Genomic DNA, 20549 nt, shown 5'->3' with positions numbered 1-20549 from the left:
TATGCCTGGCCTCTGGTGTCTCCCATAGGCGTGTATAGTTTAATTGTCAGTAAGGTGTTCAGGAAGGGTTTATACTTAAGTGTAGTCTCAGCCTTTCTTCAATTCTCCTAATTCCAGGAATTCTCTCCTAAATATTAGGTTGCTTTACCTGCCTTGAACTGTATTCTTTGATACCTCAGACCAGTAAGGTTGTAATCTCTTACTGCTAGAAAACCTTACAAAAAAGTAGCCTTAGCATAGGAGTTTATTTCTCTCTCACATACAAATATTTAGAAGTAGGCTTCCAAGACTTACATGCACCCTCTTGGTGTCATCAGGGACACAGGATACTATCTTTTTGTATTGTTGTCAAATTAAGCTTCTTGTCACCTTGTTGTCCAAGATAGTTGCTGCATCTCCAGCGATCATGTTTGCTAAAAACCAAAAGAAGAGGTAAGTGTAGAAAGGCACAGTGGCACTTCCAGCAGTATCCTCTGACTTTATATAGCTGCTCCCACCAAAAAACAACAACAAAAAATAAACAAAACAAAGCCACTGCTTCTACTAATTATCTCTCATCGGCCAGCAATTAGATATAAAACGGTTATACCTAACCACAATGAAGGATGGAGAATGTAGTCCTTTTATTCAAAATGCCCGTGTTTCCAGCTCAAAATCAGTGTTCCATTTACCAAAGAGCAGTGAGATGTTGAGGTAAGAAAAGAAACACCACAAAGCTTGTTTTTAATTGTGATGACAAAAGCCAGATTAGTAGGGGTTGGAAATGGATTAGATGTCAGAGAAAAATGATCATAGATCTATTAGTCAAGAAGTTTGTCTATAAAGAGTCCACAATAAATCCAGGATACATAAGACATTAACAATTGGTAAAATTGACCTCATAATGTTTGCTAAGTGAATAAATGAGTGTAGGCACAGCTTGCATGACTAAGCTAAAAGATCTTACTGGTAAGCTCTGTAATTAGCATGGTAGCCAACATCAGTTTTCTTTCTCTTCCTAACACATTTCAAAGAGTATTATTTTCACCATGGATTCAAAGAGTGGGAGTACAGTAGACTGTGGCCTGGTGCTTAGCCATTGAGCTCTCTTGCCAGGGACTTCAATAATAAGCATTTCACTCAGTAAGGTCTCAACAGAAGGCCTTAAGAATTCCTTGCCCTGCTAATGCATGACAAGGGCTGCTGTCTGTCAACAGCAGGGAAGACAGAAACTCTGAAAACATGATTCATCTTTCAGACAAGTTTTGCCACCGGGACACAATTCCAAAGTGTCAGCAACTTTGGAGAGATGGGTCAACAGGAAAGTTTACTAAAATTATCAGAACCAACACTTCAATGCAAAATGTTAATCTTCTACAGCAGCAATATGGCTCCTTATTGACATATCTTTTACTTCTTTGTCAAAGTAGGTTTCTTACTGAAGAAACATTAGTTGAAAATTTTCTCTTCTTCAGCAAAATGAATAACCTATTCCTCATTTTCTTGTCTTGGAAAGGCCAGTGATATTGAATTTATTACATGTTGCAATCAGAGTTCTGGTTACTGAGACCAATATTCTTGTAAAAGAAGAACCTGCAAGAACCACTTCCTGTCTCTAGAAACAAGGGGATTTTCAGATTCTTTTCCTTTAGGACCACATTCAGAGACAGGGTATCAGAAATTTAGACAAACTCCTAACTGCTCCTTTGTGAAAAATTTTGAATTTAACTACATTTAGTTTGGAAATGAATGCAAACATAGTTGGGCTACATTTATGCCCCAGCCCAAGAGAACGCTTTAAATGTGCTTACTGTCAGTTAATACCATACAGTGAACTCTTCAAGAGTTCGGAATCTGACCATAAATAGGTCTAGATTTGATTCCAACCCTAACACTTGTTATCTACTTGATTTTGATCAATCTTAAGTGTCCACATCTGTAAAATAGATGTCATATTATCATTAAGCCCACAGGGCTGCTGTGAGAATATAATTTTCTAGAGAGATAGATGAAATTAGAACAAAGCTTGTATAAAGTAAATGTCAATAAGTATAAGCAGCAAAATAAGATTACTATAAAAAGGAATAAAAACATCTGGAAATTAATTATCTTTTAGTTACATCATGCTATAACAATCTGGATTTCATATTTGTTTCACGTTTCATGATTTCAAATATAATCAAATTATCTCATTTAAGGGCAGAGTGATCATACAACTAGATAAACAATATATGTAAACATAGACTTTTACATGTATATATGTATATATGTGTTTTATATATAAATATATATGTATACATGTTTTATTTATATCGATAGATAGATATCTCTCTATATATAAAATAACTAGCTGCTCCAAGAACATTCTTGATTTCCCTGCCAAGAGACCTAAAAGTTTTGTCATTATGATCTTGTCATAAAAAGCTTTGAACAGTACCAAATCAGACAACTGTGAATATAAAATTTACCCAAAACTATGATGGCTAAGTTTGTATCTGTCTAAATTTTCCCCTCGCGTTTCATCTGACAGGGCCAGGAATTCCAGGCAGCAGAGTTCTACAGAGCTAAGAATGAGAATAGGGAATCCCTACTTGAGACAATAAGAGATGAGTGGACCAAAGATAGGAGGCAGTAGATAGAGTGGATTTTGTTCCCTAACTTCACTTCATTGAAGTTGTGTCTGAATGAGAGGAAACTGTTAAGGAACTTTGTGCACCTGTCTTGAAACTGCAGGCTGGAGCTGCAGGAGGATTAAGAAGAAGGTGGATTGCATTGCTGTGGCCCAAGGGAGAACAAGATGGTCTGGGGCTGTAATTCAGTTATTTGAAAGTGGAAGTAGTAAGGAATATCAGGACTGAGGGAGGGAAGCAGAAGCCAACGCTCAAAGGCTGGAAGAGGGGTCCTGACCTTGACTTGACTGTTCTTCAGCTCTGATTGGCTGCAGCTGCCAGGTTCAACTTCCTGCATCAGTGGCAGACCTATGCCAGTTGATTCAGGATTCCTCTGCCAGTATACTCCGAGTATTGAAAATCGTCATTTGTTTCTTGATGCTTAAGAGTAAACATACTAGACCTTCTTAAGACATTGTCATCTATGAGTCACACTCCCTCCTAAATGTTCTATCAGGCTGACCCCTTATTTCCTGATTCATTGACTGCCAGGTTGCACCATAGGTCCAAGTTCTCCAGCACAGCATTAGGATTGGAGACTTTGATACATAAAAGGAAAGTGTTTCCTGCTTCAGCTACCTCACAGGGTCTTTGGTCTTGACAGTTCCATAGCCTGTGAACTGACATCAACCCTTACCCCTTTGATTTTTATTAGAATTCTTAGAATGGCCCAGACCTCACCATCACTTTCATCATCTCTGCTCTTTACTTTTGATGCTTGTATTCCATGGCTAATCTCATTTAAGTACTGACTTGCATGCAACCCACCAGCAAATCCTGTCGGCTCAACATTTAAAATACATCCCTAATCCAATTATGCCCCTCCTTTCCATTGCTACCACCTTGGTCCACCATCATGTCTTACCTGGATAGGTGCAGATGTTTTCTAAATGATTTCTCTTTTCAACTTATTCAAGAATGCTGAAATGATCCCGATAAAATGTAAGTCGTGTCTTCTTGCTCCTCTGCTCAAAACCCATTAATTGTTGTCAAAATAAACGTCATTCAAAATAAGTAAAGCCCTTAATGACCTGAAAGCCTCCACCATCTGGTCCCTCGTCGCCATTCTGACTTCATCCTCCATTTCCCTTCTCCATTGCTTTCTATGCTGCAGGCATGCTGGCCTTCTTAGAAATTCTGCAGGCACACTCCAGCTACAGGGCCTCTCCACTTATTGTAATCCACTATGGATCTCTCTGTTCTATATTGGTGATAAAGTAATACAATTAAGATGGAAACCAAAAGCTTTGCTTGTAATTTTTTTATTTCTAAATGGGCTGCAAAATTAGAGATTAAAGGATTAAATTAAAACTACTGCCAAAGAAGTTCCTACATTGCTGAAGACCCAGGAAAGACAGGTCACCCTCACAATACCAGGTGCTACATTGAAGTCTTTATCTTACCAAGCACTACCTCACACCTGGAGCTCTTCTGTACTTCATATACGGCCCAGGCATTTTCCATGATTCAGGTCAACAAGCACAATCTCACACGTATTATGGACTAGATACCATGTTAGATGTTGGGGCACATACTCAATTCTGAGAACACCCACAATCTTAGGGGAGGAACTTGATGGAACAAACATGGAAAAATTCAACTTAACATAAAAAGCTATTAATACAAATTAATACAGAAGATCTGTTTTCATTATATCCTAGCACAGGATACAAAGATTTATTCTTGTTTGAGAAGAGGGTACAGAGAAAGCTTTCTGGAGAAGATGGGATATAAAAGATCTGAATGAAAAGTAACGTTAAGTGGGCATAGAAAGAAAGGACGTCTGTGGTTTATTGAGTAGCATGGTTTTTGCAGGGCTCTTGAGAGAGTGACAGATTGGCAGTTGCAGGAGACATGAGAGAGAGTTATAGGCCAAGTCTTGTTCAAGAATCTGGGACTTACTGGGTGGATGAGGGAGAGCCAGTGAGGGCTTCTAAGCAAGGAATTTGTGCGAATTCACATGGAAAACGCTCTCTGTGATTATGAGGAAATAAATGTTTAAGAGAGTTACAGAAAGACCACTTTTGCAACAGTAAAGTATGATGCCAATATAGAAATTTTTTGTGCCCTCATGATTGGAAAAAAACCATGTTTTTTCTTCTGTTTAGGTATCAATAAATTATCAGTTATAACTCTATTTCCACCTGTAGGTACTAACTTTTCTTTAGTGCATGAAAGGACTTTCTTCCTTCTCCCCTCCTTCCCTTCCTTCCTTCCTTCTCCCCTTCATTCCTTCCTTCCTTTCTCCCTCCTTCCCTCCCTCCCTTCCTTCCCTTCCTTCCTTCCATCCTCTTTTTGTTCCTTCCTTCTTTCCTTCCTTCCCTTTCTTCCTCCCTTTCTCTGTTCTTCCATTTCTTTCTCTCTTCCTCTCCCCTTCCCTCCTCCCCTCCTCCCCTCCTCCCCTCCTCTCTTGCTTCTATTCTTTCTCTGTCCTTTCCTTTCTGTTTACCTTTCTTTCTTCTTCTGATATGCTGTAATATTCTTTCTTTGTCTCAAACCATATTCCAAAAGGAGAAATTGTTCATAGGTAAAATTCCTGTATTCTTATTCAATGTCTATCAGTTTATCTTTTATCATTTTCATGTATTTTTTTCTTCCACAGTTTTGGAGAACATTTCAAGTATGCTTGAAATTCTATTTCCACAAGGATTCGTTAAGATATTTTCTTTCTCTCAATACAGATTTAAAAATCTATGGTAGAGATAAAGTCTAAAGCAGAGTGGAGATAAAAACCAGTCTATGGTACAGAGAAATAAGCTGCTAGGTCTTTTTAATTTGATAGGTTGCTGGATTTCTGGAGAGTGAACAGAACAGGAACGCAGTGTCAAGCTGCCTTCTATGTTTCTTTTTCTTCGTCTTTGCTCTAACCCAGACTGGTCTACTTTATAAATATTGTTCAATCTACCATTTTTCTAACACTATTTTGTCTTTTAAAATTATTTATTTCCTACTTTTTAAGAGACAAGGGCTCACTCTGTCACCCATACTGGAATGCAGTGGTGCAATCATAACTCACTGCAAACTCAAACTCATTCCTGGGCTCAAGAGATCTTCTCGCCTCAGCCTTCTGAGTAGGTGGGACTATAGGTTCAGGCCACTGTACCCAACTAATTTATTTTTATTTTTTTCTCTTCTTTTTAGGAGAGGGATTCTCAGTAGATTGCCACACTGGTCTCAAACTCTTTGCTTTAAGTTGTCTTCCTGCCTCAGCCTCCCTAGTCACTGGGATTACAGGTATGAGCTACCATGCCGGGCGTTTTTTGCTTGTTTGTTTGTTTTTGTTTTTTGTCTTTAGGTTTTTTAAGTCATTGTTGCTGTTCTTTAAAATCATTTCTTCTTTGTGAATATATTTGTAGGAAGTAAACGGGTATTCCAACCTTCCAGCTAGATGCCATTTGAATTTAGATATCTGGGCATATGTATTTCAGAGAGAATGAATCAGATGTAGATTTTAATTTGAGAGAATGAGACATAGTTGGAAGTAATTGGCTTCAAAGGCTTACATGAAGTTCAGTGAGAAGTTATTTGGAGATCAACATTGGAATGGGGCATAGCTAAGCACTAGAGGACTACCCGTGCCCCCTGCCTTTACTATAGTCACCATTTTCCTGTAGTGCTCTGTCCACATTTATTTCTTCAGAGTAGTTTCTTAAAACCACAGAATCCAGACTATGAGGCTGGTATAGATAGGAGCCACAGGAGATGAAGACTTTCAGTGTCTAACATGGCCAATAACCTCCTGTCTTCACCAGGAGGTGAAGGCTTTCAGTGTCTACCCAAAAGAAAAAAAAAGGTCATTATATGGAAAAGACACATGCACACACATGTTTATAGCTAGCAGCACAATTCACAATTGCAAAGATATGGAACCAACCGAAGTGCCCATTAACCAATGAGTGGTAAAGAAAATGTGGTGTATATACACCATGGAATACTATTCAGCCACAAAAGGGAACTAAATAATGTCTTTTGCAACAATGTGGATGGAGCTGGAGGCCATTATTCTAAGGGAAGTAACTCAGAAATGGAAAACCAAACATCATGTGTTCTCACTTACAAGTGGAAGCTAAGCTATGAAGACACAAAGACATACAGAGTAATATAATGAACTTTGGGGACTCGGGAGGGGGTTGGGGGTACAGAGAAGTTTGGAGGAGGTTGAGGGATGAAAGACTATACTGCTCAGGTGACAAGTGCACTAAAATCTCAGACTTCACCGCTGAAGAACTCATCCGCGTAACCAAAAACCACCTGTATCCCCCAAACTGTTGAAATAAAAATAAAAATAATAAAATGGTCACCATAATCAGTCAACCTACACCACTGGGAGTGCCCAGTCTCCCTACACACACACACCCACACACCCACACACCCACACACACACACCACATGGGGGTCACAAGCCCACCAAGTCTGCTACTAGAGCCAGACAGAATGAAGCGTTAGCCCCTTGGGCCATCAGTTCTCTTAAACCTGATTTGCAGTAGTCGCCAATCTTTCTATTACTGTAATTGCTGGCTGAATGAACTGTAATTGTATTAAGAGGTAACTCTGAAATATGTATGTACTTTCTGCTAATTCTCAGAATATGCAAGGAGAGGGGATTGATTCATTGTGCTTGGAAGAACCATTTGGAGATGTTCCCCCTAAGGTCTGTCATTTGGAGGCCTCCTTTACATTTTGTAGAAAGTCAAGGCCAGATGCTTAAGAGTCTGGGAGACAGACATGCAGGAATCTCCAGGAATCCCAGGGGCTTCTCACAGTATGATTGTTTGTAGCAGTGATCTCCCAATGTCAAAGGAGCCAAAGATCAAGTCAGACTCCTCTTTAGTCTTGGACACAACAGAAGAGATTCAGATTAAAGTTCGTGTTCTGATAGCCTACTTTGCTAAGACTTGTGCAGGAGCTTTTCAAATATTCCTTTCAAAAGCCCCTGCAGTGTGACTATGCTTGTTTTAAAAGTGAGGAAACAAAGGATAGGAGATGATAAACAGCTTGTCAGTGCTTGCTTGCTGGTAATAGAAAATAGAGACTCATATCTTGGTCTGCTGAGTTCAAGTCCATAGCTACTACAGAGATATTTTCACTAACATGAAAGGCATTAAAAATACCTTCAGCTATGGCTCCGGCTAGAGAATAGTGGTGTAGGTTTATGTTTGGGTGAGTGTATGCTGAAAAATGAAGAATTTGTTATAAAGAGTTCTGTGTAGTACGTTTGTTTACGATTTTGAATAATTAAATATATCAGATAACCCATAATTTTCATCTCCACCTGCTTCTTTGATAAAATCTAAAATTCAAGTTTTGGAATTCCTGACTTCTCATTATGGCTGGCTATTGGGCATCCTCATCCTCTCTTCCCTTTAATTTGTGTAATGATACTGATGTCCTTACTTAAAAAGCCAAAAGGGATAAAGTGGGCTAGACTGTTCTGGGGGAAAAAAATAAACCTCAATGTATGAGTCACAGTGAGTAATAACACAGTAAAGCTAACCCAGTTCCTGTCTTCAAGGAACTAGAAATCTAGTGGGTGGGACACAGAATCAATAAATAAAAAAGAAATTAAAACTCTGACTTAAATATGTTTTTATATGGTATGGCAGAGATTGCTGGCTATCACACAACCTCTATGTACCTTTCCTTCCTTAAAACCAAGCACAATTGTATGTGGAACAATAATATGTCGAGCTAAAATATTGCATCTCCCAGCCTCCCTTCCAGCAAGATTGGTCATATGTCTGTTTCTGGTGAATGAATGTTCTGTGATACTTACAGGAAGGCTGATTAAACGAAGTGGACTCTTCTATGAGTGTTTCCTGCTGTCCACAAAGTAGCTGTGATAGCTGGAATGCCAGCAGCCATCTTAAACTGTGAGGTGACCTCAAAAATAGAAGCCACTTGCAAACACCTAGAACTTGTAGGTACTTGAAGAAGTTGTTATTTATACCCTTGCTTACCTCTAAGTTTATCTGAGGCTGCAGTGGATCACTCCTTGCATAATTCAATGGCTTGAATGTTTCTGCTTTTCTACCTGAGCAGGGCCACAGGGGCTTGCCCTACTCAGAGCAGACCAGTCCATTGAAGAGGGGATTTGATGCCCCTGCGGGCAACTGCCAAGCAATTAGGAGCCGAAATCACTGCACAAATCCCTGGGCTCTACCCCTCCCTCAGTGGAACAATTCTAGATACATTCTATGGATCCCTCTGGAGGATCTCCGTTTGCTCACTGCCTCATTCATGTATCCTCTATTCGCTTCTGCTATTCCTGCCTCACTGTTCTGACCCCCTTCCTTGTTCTTCCTAGGGCTACCTCTCAAACAAACTACCACTACTCAACCTCTGTTGCTGAGGTTGGCTTTGGGAGGAATCCGCAGTATGACAGTATAGATTAAATACCGGCTTTGGTTGACCAAATGACTTCCTCTTTGCCAGATCGATTTACTTTGGTTTGACCTTCCTCTTCCTCATTCCTTCTATAGTTTGTGCCAGCATTGATCTTTTCTTCTCTATTAAAATTCTTGTTCCCTTTGACTTCCACTGTCACCTGTGTGTTCATGCCTCCTTTACTTATTTTAGACCAGGAGTCCCCATCCCCCAGGCTGTGGACTGGTACTGGTCCACAGCCTGTTAGCAACCAGGCTGCACAGCAGGAGGTGAGCTGCCAGCGAGCAGTACCACCTGAGCTCCTCCTCCTGTCAGATCAATGGTGGCATTAGATTCTCATAGGAGCACAAGCCCTATTGTAACAGCACATGCAACGGATCTAGGTTGCACGCTCCTTATGAGAATCTAACTGAAGTGGAACAGTTTTATCCCAAAACCATCCCCCCACACTGTGGAAAAATTGTCTTCCATGAAACTGGTCCAAGGTTCAAAAAGTCTGGGGACTGTTGTTTTAGATCACTGCCATATCAATCACTCTAACTGATGGTCCACCTTTGAGATCTCTTCATTCTATTCCAATATATACACACTCATATGTTTTGACATTCACTGAAACAATAAACACCTTGATTCTCTTTCCATAGCTCCAACCTACCATTCCAGATTACTTTTCCGCATCCTCTATAGTATCCGAAGTGCCAAATATTTTTTGGCATTTCATTGAACAATGCCTACCTTTTCCTTCCAATGAGCCTATAGCCTTTCTATTTCTTGTTGCTAGCCCCTTCCTTTCAACATCGATTTATACCTATCCAAATCCTACCTGCTCTGAATGGTCTGCATCATCTCTTTCTTCCCCCAGGATGCTTTCATATTCTCCATCAAAAAGTGGCATGTGTTCCTTGGCATCATACTGTTCTTTGTACCTTCTTACCGTTAAAAAATATTTACTTTTTTGACCCTGAGTGAGTCACCGATAAATATTGGTTGAAAAGAATTATAATTATTTTTAATAAGACTTGCCTCTTATTTTACCAACTTCTAGAGGAGATAGCGTTGCCCGTAGAGTTTCTACTATCTGAATTTCAGAATCACATACAGGCAAATCATATTTCATCCTATGAAAAGGTAGTTTGAAATATCAGCACGTTAAATCCTTTTGCTTAAATTTTTTTCCATGCAGATGCATATGGAAAATCCTTCCCATGAACTTCTATTTTTATTTTATGTTTCCCCTTACAACCAACTAACTACTAATGATCATTCTGTCTCATCCATGAAATAAAATGTAGAGTGAAACTGACAGATGATAGAAAACAAATTTTATGTCTAACGAGTGGCAAAACATTTGAGTTACCAAAAATTTAGTTAAATGTTTCAAATCTTTAAATATCTGGGATAGTTTGAGGCAGGAAGTCTCTCTCTCCATTTTGAAATAAGTGTACTCATGTCACTCCCTTGTATACCATGCATTTCTGAGTTCCTTAAGAGTTATGATTATTGTGCTCAGGGATATGTGGGAAAAAGAATTATCAATTACAGAAATCAATTTTCTTTCAATCTGACCTTCCTTCTCAAATGTAGCATTAAGGTTTCAATTAAAACCTATTTAATTTCCTTGTTCTGGATATGACTCTTTGTGTGAAATATTGTGGACTATTTTCTGATGCATGCTCCTGGTAAAATTAAATATCATACCCACTGGTCACTGGTTCTCCAAGGAGTGCAGAATAGTCTCTCTTCTGACACTGCCTTCTTCCCCCATCTCCTGAAGGAGCTGCAGTTATGTTCAGTGAAAGAAGCTTCTATTGTTTGAAAGGGATATGAGGGGAAAGTAAAACATGAAGGTAACTGAGCCAGGAGGCAATCAAAGAGTACTGACATTTTGGATGGACACAAGCCAAGGATGGGGGTGGGGCTCAGCAGTTAAAGACAAGAATCTTATGAACTTGAACTTATTCCTCTTGCTTGATAGATCTGGATTCTTGTGTAAGTGACATATTGAGGGGTTGCTTTCAAGAGAAACCTGTAAGGCTACAGGGGAACAGGATAGAAAAGAAAGAGTCCAGAAGGAGATTCACCTTACTCCGATGCCACAGAGAGAACCAGAGAATGAATTCTACTCAGAGAGCTCCCCCATCACTTTTCCACTCCCAGGGAAAGGGGGTTACACTCTTGCACACCTACATCGGCCCTACTGGCAATGGGCCACCTCCAGGAAAAGGAATAAAAGTTTCCAGGTATATGCACAAGGCAGGCCCTATCAGCTGTGGAAAATCCTCCAGAAGAGGATAAAAGTGTGAGCCATGAGCAGCTAACACCCCCAGAAGAACGAAGTTAAGGGCACCAGTCTGGTAAAGAGAAACTAGGTGGAGGATCACCATCACCTGTCACAGTAATGTATTGCTGAAATAAACTGGGCTGAGTGAGTTCATGCTGGCATTCCTACTGAAACTCATTAGTAGCTAGAGCTACAAATATCTGAGCACATCAATAGTAACTAACAAAATTGCTTGCTCCATAAGAGAGCATCCCACCACTCATCTCTATGCACATTGGGAGGGTCCTAGGAAAGTAAGTTATGGCATTGCTCTGCCAGCAAAGGTTACTTTTCACACATAGGGAAGCTTCTGATCTTCCTAAGGATGTGTGCTTAAACCACTGACAGCCGAATTCTCAAAGCTGATCAATGGCTAGGCTCCAGTTCAGGTTATGGTCAACAAACACTATGTCAGGCCGTCTGACTTCTGTTACTGTGTCTTGTCTCTTATGATTGATTCTGGAGATTCTTGCCAGGCTATCACAAAGACATCCCAAACTGCATCAGGAGTGGTATTCTCCAGTGTCTGGGAAGTAATCATTTCATCACAGTTCTGTCTTTGGGAAATGATGGTTTAAACTTACTTACCAGCTATGCCCACAGGGATCACAAGCTGAACTTGTCAGAAATACATTGAGGGTATAGATATGTACTCTGCATATACACAGATGTTGCCTTTTGCTGAGCTGAAAGAAACACCGTGGTCAGAAAGGGCTACGAAAGCCAGTTTTCCTCTGTGGCAGCATATTTCTTATATGCTCAACCAAAAATCAATTAATCAATCATTAATCAAGCCAGAAATTCAAAATTTACAGTTTACAGAATGCCAGAGGTGACAAGAGTTCTGGGGTTACCCACTACAACCTTCTCATTTTGCAGATAAGGGCATTGCCATTACTGGCCGTTTGACTAGCTGTATGACTAGTATGACTATGTAAGTCTATTATAACTGTATGACTTTTGCCAAGTTACTTCAACTCTCTACGCCTTGGTTTCCTCTTGTATAAATGGAGTACTTAGCTCATTGAGTTGAAATATGAATTAAATGTGTAAAACTTACAGACTCCTTAGGACAGTGTCTAGCACAAAGGCCATATGTGTTAATTAAATATAAATAAATAAATAACTTGCCCAGGGTCACTTAGTTAATTGGCTTATGTTATTAGAGGTTTATTAAGAGTTTTATTGAATTAATATAAAATATGAATATACATCAATATTTAATAACTTAATTATAAATAATTAATAGAAATGAACAAACATAAAAACATGTCAAGATATTTTTATATTAAGACCCATCAAAGTTAGCCATAGTTAAAAGCCCTGGCTTTAGGTTCACACAGGGAAGAATTTTATTTCTTGTTCATGGTACTCACTGTGTGATCTTGGGCAAGAGGTTCGACTTCTCTAAGATTCAATGTCCTCAAATGTAAAATAGAGATAATAATAACAAAAAAATACCCAATAATAGTTACCCATGGGATTGCTTAAAGATCAAATGTGAGAGCATACTCTTAGCATATAGAACAAGTTTAATCAGTGGCAGCTGTTATTGTTACTATTATAATAATCTATAGTATCTTTCAAAGAATTTCTATTACTCATCTGTGAGCAAGAACTATACACGCTTAAATGTTTGATGTTTAGGATAGTAAAATAATATAAATTTAGCAAGCTCAGAACCTTTGGCCATATAAATCGCTGGTCACTGGCTTATTTGTTCTGAATGCTTTATTCTATAAGTAAGCAAGAATGGAGTCACCAGAGACATCATCCTTAAAACTCAGAGACAGGCAGTAGCTGCAGCCATAACTTAGAACAAACTGCATGGACACCTGTAGTCCTCTTTCCATGTTGGGCTGGCTATGGACTGGCCTGTCAATATTGTGAGCATTCATATTTGAATAAATTTGAATTCACACCATAAGCATTTAAATCTCTTTCAATTAGAGGAAGAATACAGAGGCTGCCCACCCACAATATATATATATATTTAGATGGGAAAGAGACCACTTTGGGCCTTCCTAAATTTACCTCTGGCCTGATGGGAGTGAGTAAAAAATAAAAAATGATCTCTATCTTCAGGAAAGACAATCTACACATACCATATTCAATGAGCAGAATGTTGATCAAAGTGTGATGCCCATGCTGATGGTGGCACATGAAGTGATTTTAAGTAGGACAGAGATAAATGTCTCAGTGAGAACTACACTGGCCTCTAGTAACAGAAAACCTGATTTAGAAGTTGCTTAAACAAGTGGAGAGTTCATTTTTTTCTTGCACAATAATCGAAGACCCTATTCTGACTATATTTCTGTTTGGCCATCTTTTAAAACAATTCTATTGACAAATAAAAAAATATATACATATTTATCATGTAAAACATGGTCTCTTGAAATATTTTTATACATTTTGGAATGCCCAAATTGAGCAAATAAACATAAATTACTTCACATACTTATCTTTTTATGTGGTGAGAGCACTCAAAATCTACTCTCTTGACAATCATCAAGAATAAAGCATGTTATTAACTATAGGTGCCATGTTGTACAGTAGATATCTTGAAATTCCTCTGACCTGAGTGTGACTTTCAACCTCATGCTTGTTGCCTCATTGACCCAAAATTGCCACTTCATCTTTAACACTGTGACCATTTTCAGGGCAGGAAAAAAGAGGACAGGCAAAGGTATATGTCAGTTGCCTCACCCTCCTCTTATGGTTTTCCCAGAATCTCTTTTGAGCATCATCTTTTTATTCTTGTCACCCAGGACCATATCCATGGCCATCCTAACTGCAAAGGAGGTTGGAAAATGTAGTTTATATCTGTTCACATTGCTACTCTGGAAACAAGCAAAGCAAAACGAAACAAAGCAAAACATGGTTCTGTTAATATATTAGGTTAGAAAGTATATTGGTTAGGGAAACAGCAATTAATAGTTACGTGTTTATTTAAATATATTTTTAATCTTATCTTTTATTAATGGTAGTAAGATTACATTTCCTTTCTGAAAAATATTTTTTAAAAAATATGAATTGGTTTAAGAAAATAATTAATTAATTACTTGAAAGTGCAAGTAATTTGGTAGTAGATGGAAAGTGCAAATTTATGGAGATGGTCTATGAATGATTGGGATTGAGTGAATAAATCCCATCAGAAAACAACAACTATGGTGGGCTTCTAAAGAATACAAGAACCAAAAAGACTTTCAAATTTGTGCTTTGGTCTTTTTTTCGTGCTTAAGACAAGTGGCAGGAAATACATCCATGAAAACAACCACTTTTGCACTAGACTGTGGAGAGCAGCAAAAATGTTTGAGGGTGCAGGCTTTGCAAACAACAGGCTAAAACAAAAGCCTCTATAAACTGGATTTCTGAGTCTACAAATCTGTCCTTGAGTGCCTTATGCATTATGACTGAAGGCCAGTCTCTGGTAAATGTCAGTGCTTGCCCAGTAATTTCCACTTTCATTGGGTAGCTATGGAGTCTGCTAAATCTCGATAAGAGGTAATGGAGAGGTTCTCCTCATTAGCTCGGCCTGGAGAGGCATCATCCAGTCACCTGAAGTGTCAATAAACACTGGCCTTTAATGGTGTTGGCTTAGTGATAACGACGCTGCACATTTCTGTTTGTCATTATGAGATTTAACACTGGCCGATTCCCTCTGGGTATGGGCTCATTATCAGGCAGGGGAATAGAGCAATTGGTGTCTCTTGGAATCAATCGTTGGCCCCTCTAGTCCATCTCTTCAGTAATGAATTTGTAAAAGCAAGCCAAGGATGTGTTTCTTACATTCACAGAAATAAACTATAAGGCATTTAAAATGTGGTGGTTTGAATTAAATCTGAGTGGAGGATAAAATTTAAACTAGGCATGAACTACTGAAGGTATGGTCTCAAGGAAACAGCAAGAACCTAATTAAGAGGATACAACGAAGATATTAAGTCAAAAGTGCATCTGGAGTATGCAGAAGGAAAGAAAATAATAAGGTGATCACCTCACCACATGCTGACTAGAAATGAAATATGTATTGCCTAATAGGAACGAGCAGCATTATTTGAATTGTTTTGGGAAGAAAACAACTCCAACGTTAGCAGTTTTAACACAGTCCTGACTAGAGTTCTAGATCTCATTTAACTTTAAAAAAAAAAAACTGCTTCATTAAGGTATAATTTACATACCATAAAAACCACCAATTTTGTGTTCAGTGTTTTTAAATTAATGTATACGTTTGTACAACCATCCCTCACTCCAATTTTTAGGACATTTCTATCATTTAAAAACTCTACATGTGCCTATTTGTCATCAATCCCCATTCTAATCCCCAGTCTCCAACAATCGCTAATCTGTTTTTTTCTACATATAGATTTCTCTTTTCTAGGAATTTCTTATAAATGCAACCTTACACTATGCAATTTTTATGTCTGGTTTCTTTCACATAGCACAGTGAAATAAGGCTAACTCAAAATGTGGTATGTATCAATAATCTGTCCTTTTTATTGCTGAGTAGTATTCCATTGTATGGATCACACTTTATCTGTTGACTGGTTGATGAGCATTTGCATTTTTTCTCACATTTTGGCTATTATGAATGATGTTGCTTTGAATGTTGCTTACAAGTCTATATGTGAACATGTTTTCATATTTCTGGGGTGTATACCTAGAAGTGGAATTACTGGTTTGTAAGGTAAGAATAATTTTAGCTTCTTAAGCAATTATCAAACTGTTTTCCAAAATGGCTGTATCATATCTTACATGGTGTCTATTGGTTAGGATTTAGGGTTCTCTCTCTTTCCTCCAACATGACTATATCATTTTACATTTCCACTAGAAATATATGAGAGTTCTAGCTTCTCTATGTCTTCACCGATGTTTGTTATTGTCAGTCTTTTGGATTATAACTTTTCTAATGAGTATGGAGTGGTATTTTCCTAATTGCTAATAATGTTGTGCAGGTTTTCATGTGGTTATTAACCATGTGTACCTTTGTTTGGCAAAATGTCCATTTAAATGTTTTGGTTATTTTAAATTTGGGTTGTTTTCTTCTTTTTGAATTGTAAGAGTTCCTTATGTGTTCTGGATACAAGTCCTTTAACAGATACATGATATACACATATTTTGTCCCAGTCTTTGACTTGCATTTTCATTTTAATAGTGTTCTTAGAAGAGCAAAATGTTTTCATTTTGATGAAGTCCAATTTTTTATGTTTTTAATTTTATGAATCATACTTTTTGGTGTTATATCTAAGAAACTATTGCATAACCCAAATGCACAAATATATTCTCCTATGTTTCTTTTTCGTTTAGTCACTACTTTTAGCAAATAAAATGGTAAAACAACAATTTTTCTGAGGTTTGGATCCAATGGAGAAAGTGTAGAGTAATTGACACCTAGTTTTCAGGAGGCCAGGGTGAATTATTTTCTATCTGTAAATCTATGAATGTTTTTATAAAGTGTTTTATGAGGATGCTCAGAAGCATGTATTCTCAGTGCTTGCAGAAACAGAGACAAGAGGGAAGCCTTTCATGGTTCTTCGTGGCATTTTCTTCTCATGGCAATTTCAGAGGAAAGAGAATAAAGGAGATAATGGTCTGTCCTAAGTGAAAACCTTTTCCTGACCAAGGAAATCTTGTGTAATGTGACTTAGAAATGATTAGGACTCCTGTAGATCATCTACGAGGAAATGGATGGTTGGATGAATGGATGATGATAATGAGACCATAACCAATAACACTCATTTATTATTAAAATCATATGCTTTAAAATATTCGGTATTAACAAGACCGAACAAGACAGTTTACTATATGTTTTGCAAACACTGCAAAAGGCTTTCAAAACATAATATCTTGTTTAGTCCTACAACATCTCTCTGAATTAGAAGTTTTACTCTTTTTATAAAGAAGCTTAAAATCCATGAAATTACAGTAACTAAGTACATATCTCATATTTAAGACATAAGAGTTGAGATTTGAATCCTGGCTGGTTTCATTTCCGAGCCTGTATAATCAACCACTTCACTCTACTACCTCCAGTATAAACCGAGGACCTCTCAGAGTCACCCTCAAGGCTGATGACTCTAGGAAAAAGTCAGTCTTTCACAGGCTAGTTAACACACGCACACCCACCCACATCCACACCCACACACACATTGTGAGAGTAAAGAGGGTGGATTAAGCTCTGTTCTCATAACGAATTAATTGTTAAAGAAACAAGGCCCAGCAACACACAGACATGTGAGAACAACTGAACTCCTTGGTGCTCATCTTGGGTGAGACAATAAACAGGAACAAACCTGACCCTGACTTCAACCCATTTGCTGAATGTGTTATATATTTATCTTGGAGATAAAACTAGACTAATGATATGGGTGGGGCTCCTTTAATAAAATTCAAACACATATGGATTCCGTTTTTAAGAAAAGATATGGGCAGATAATGACATTATTTGATTTTTCACTTATTCCTATAACCACTCTTTTTTTCTGTATGACTTTGCAGTTCCTTTCACCAAAGTTCCTTAAAGTCAACAGGTCAACTCTATCTCTTGCTTTTGGGTTTGCCCATGTAACTTCCTTTAGCTAAGTGAAGGAAGTAGAACTGTTGGATTTCTACTTCCTCAAGTGGTCTTACACATGCCTGCTTGCTTTCTTGAGCCTTTGTCATCAGCAAGGATCTGCCTAGACTAGCCTGCTAGTTCCAGGAGAAGGATGAGACACAGACCCAAGCCATTCCAGATATCTCAAAGGAGGCTAGCCTAGATAGGCAGACAACCAATCCTCAGACGCATAAATCCAAGAATGCCAGATTTATTTAGCTGATCACTTCAGACACATGAACAATAAACACTTATTGTGGTATGCCATTGTGTTTTGTGTTTGTTTGTTACACAGCATCATTGTTGCAATAACTTATGCAAGATGGAAGTGAGTGTTGCTTTGGTATTTTATCTCTGAGAGATGTGCTGTAACTACTTTTCCCAAGGTATTAATATAAAATATCTTTCCCATAAAGAAGCTGCTAAATACTAGAGTGACATGACTTCAGGGGCAGGTTCTTGTGCTGCACTGTATGCAAATAATTAGCAGCAGCTTCCTATCATGAAAAAATCTCAGCTTAGGTGAATTGTGGGCCCAAGCCCATCAGAGAAGTTGGACCTTGTACAGTCAATATTTTAAACTTTCCTTCGCTACATCCTTGCTGATGAATAGGATCTCCTTTCCTTTATTCTACACTTAATGCTGTTGTATAATCTGTACTTCTGAATCTAAGTAAGAAACTTTCCACAATTATCTGATTGTGATGGTGATGCTAATGAAAATAACCACAACAATAGCAGCTAAAAATTACTTCTGAGCAGCTATTTACATTTAACATCTCATTAAATCATCACATGGACTCTATAAGATCATTATGATTCAGTAATTTATAGAATGGATTTGGCATTATATTAGCCAGACTCCTATCCTAACTCTTCAGTTTACCGTTTGTGTAACTTTGGAAGAGTTATTTAGCCATTTAGACACTCAATTTGCTTATCTGTAAAACATAGACACCTAATCTGCCTACCTCACAGGATGATTAGGAGTGTGATACATGCTGATGCAGGTGAGGTTCTAGGCACAGTGTTGGCACGTGATCTCTGTTCCCTACGTGATAGCTATTACCATCTTTATTTCACAAGTAAGGAAGCTGAGATGTAGAGGGGGTAAGTAACTTGCCCATGTTCATAGGGCACGTAAGAAAGATTTGACCATCCCAATGAGGTACCTCCTACAAATGTGGGTTTTATCACACCCCCTTTCATCTGTTCAGACTGAGATGCCAGGCCTAATCGATCTGGCCTCATATGATTAAAACCATGCCTACACAGCTTCATAAACCTTCTCCTTGCTCATCTAACCCAGTGATGGCAATTACTAAGTTCAACAAAGGCTTGTTGTGTTTACTGCTTTTATATTCATTCCTCTCTAATATTCTCCAGTTTCTCAGGGCATCTTACAAAAGGCAGATTTCCACGGCCGCAGTGTGGTCTCTGAGAGGTCAGCCAGTTACAATGCGTAGCACTAGAATGAGGTGGTGCCCTACAGCACTTTGCCTCCTGCAATCTCGGTGAACCCAGATGAGCCCCTCCTCTTAAAGAGGGCTCACGAGCTAATCCTTAGCTTGCCAGGTCAAGAAGATGTGACTAAAGGAATAATCTAGAGCCTGCTATGACCTCTATGACCTCTAGAAAGCCAGATAGATTGCATATACAAGGACTCATCACACCCAACTGTGAGCATTTCAGGTAAGAGTAGAAAACTTAAGTAATTTCAGGAAGAGGGACCAAAAAATGAAAGTGGCAGAATTGAGAAGCCTTCGATTCAACCATGTGGAGCAGACCTGCAGCCCTTATGATTTTATGGAGCAATCAGCTGATTAGGCTTCTCACATCTGTTGTCACTATTCTAGAAGGAAGAAAAGGCCTAGATGAGTTTCATTGCTATGTGCTTGGGTCGCACCAGCCCCAGGTTGCAGTTCCCAAAGCTGCTCCTGTGCTCAGCGGGAATAAGAAAGAATGGATCCAATATTTACTAAGTCGCTTTCCTGCAACCAATATGGGCTCCAGATCATTTCATAGTTTATCTTTACAAAAACACCACTGAGGAAGTTTGTATGACCTTTATTTTATAGATTAATAAGCATAGATACAGAAAACCCACCAGACATACGTAGCTCCTCCCATATCCCCTATATGTAATCCCATACTATCCTGTGATTTCTCCCCTTCAAAGCAATGCATTCCCTTATGAATACATTTAATGGCTGTCTCTCCAATTAGTAGGGAGTTCCTTGAGGACAGGTTTCTGTTGGCCATCTCTGCCACTAATTTCCAGAGTCTAGCCTAGGACCTGGCATAAATTAGGAACTCAAGCAATGACTACTGCCTAAATAAATGAATGAATGATAAATAATTCTCTCAAAGTCACATACCTAACAGGGAAAACCTGAAATTTGAATTCTGAAACATCTAACTGTAAAAGTAACAGCTTTAGATGAATTATTGAGTCAAGTCCCATGCCCTTTCCACTATCTTTAGATAGATCTGGACCCTGAGCAGAAGCTCTTGTCATGTGGACACTCACTGGACCTCATATAAGTCACATACTTATTCAAGCATGTATTCATTAATCCATTCCTTTGGTCAACAAATAGAATGC

The sequence above is a fragment of the Homo sapiens genome, chromosome 20, assembly GCF_000001405.40.
Source record: "Homo sapiens chromosome 20, GRCh38.p14 Primary Assembly".
NCBI classification, from domain to species: Eukaryota; Metazoa; Chordata; class Mammalia; order Primates; family Hominidae; genus Homo; species Homo sapiens.
Note: the sequence above shows the minus strand (reverse complement) of the source record.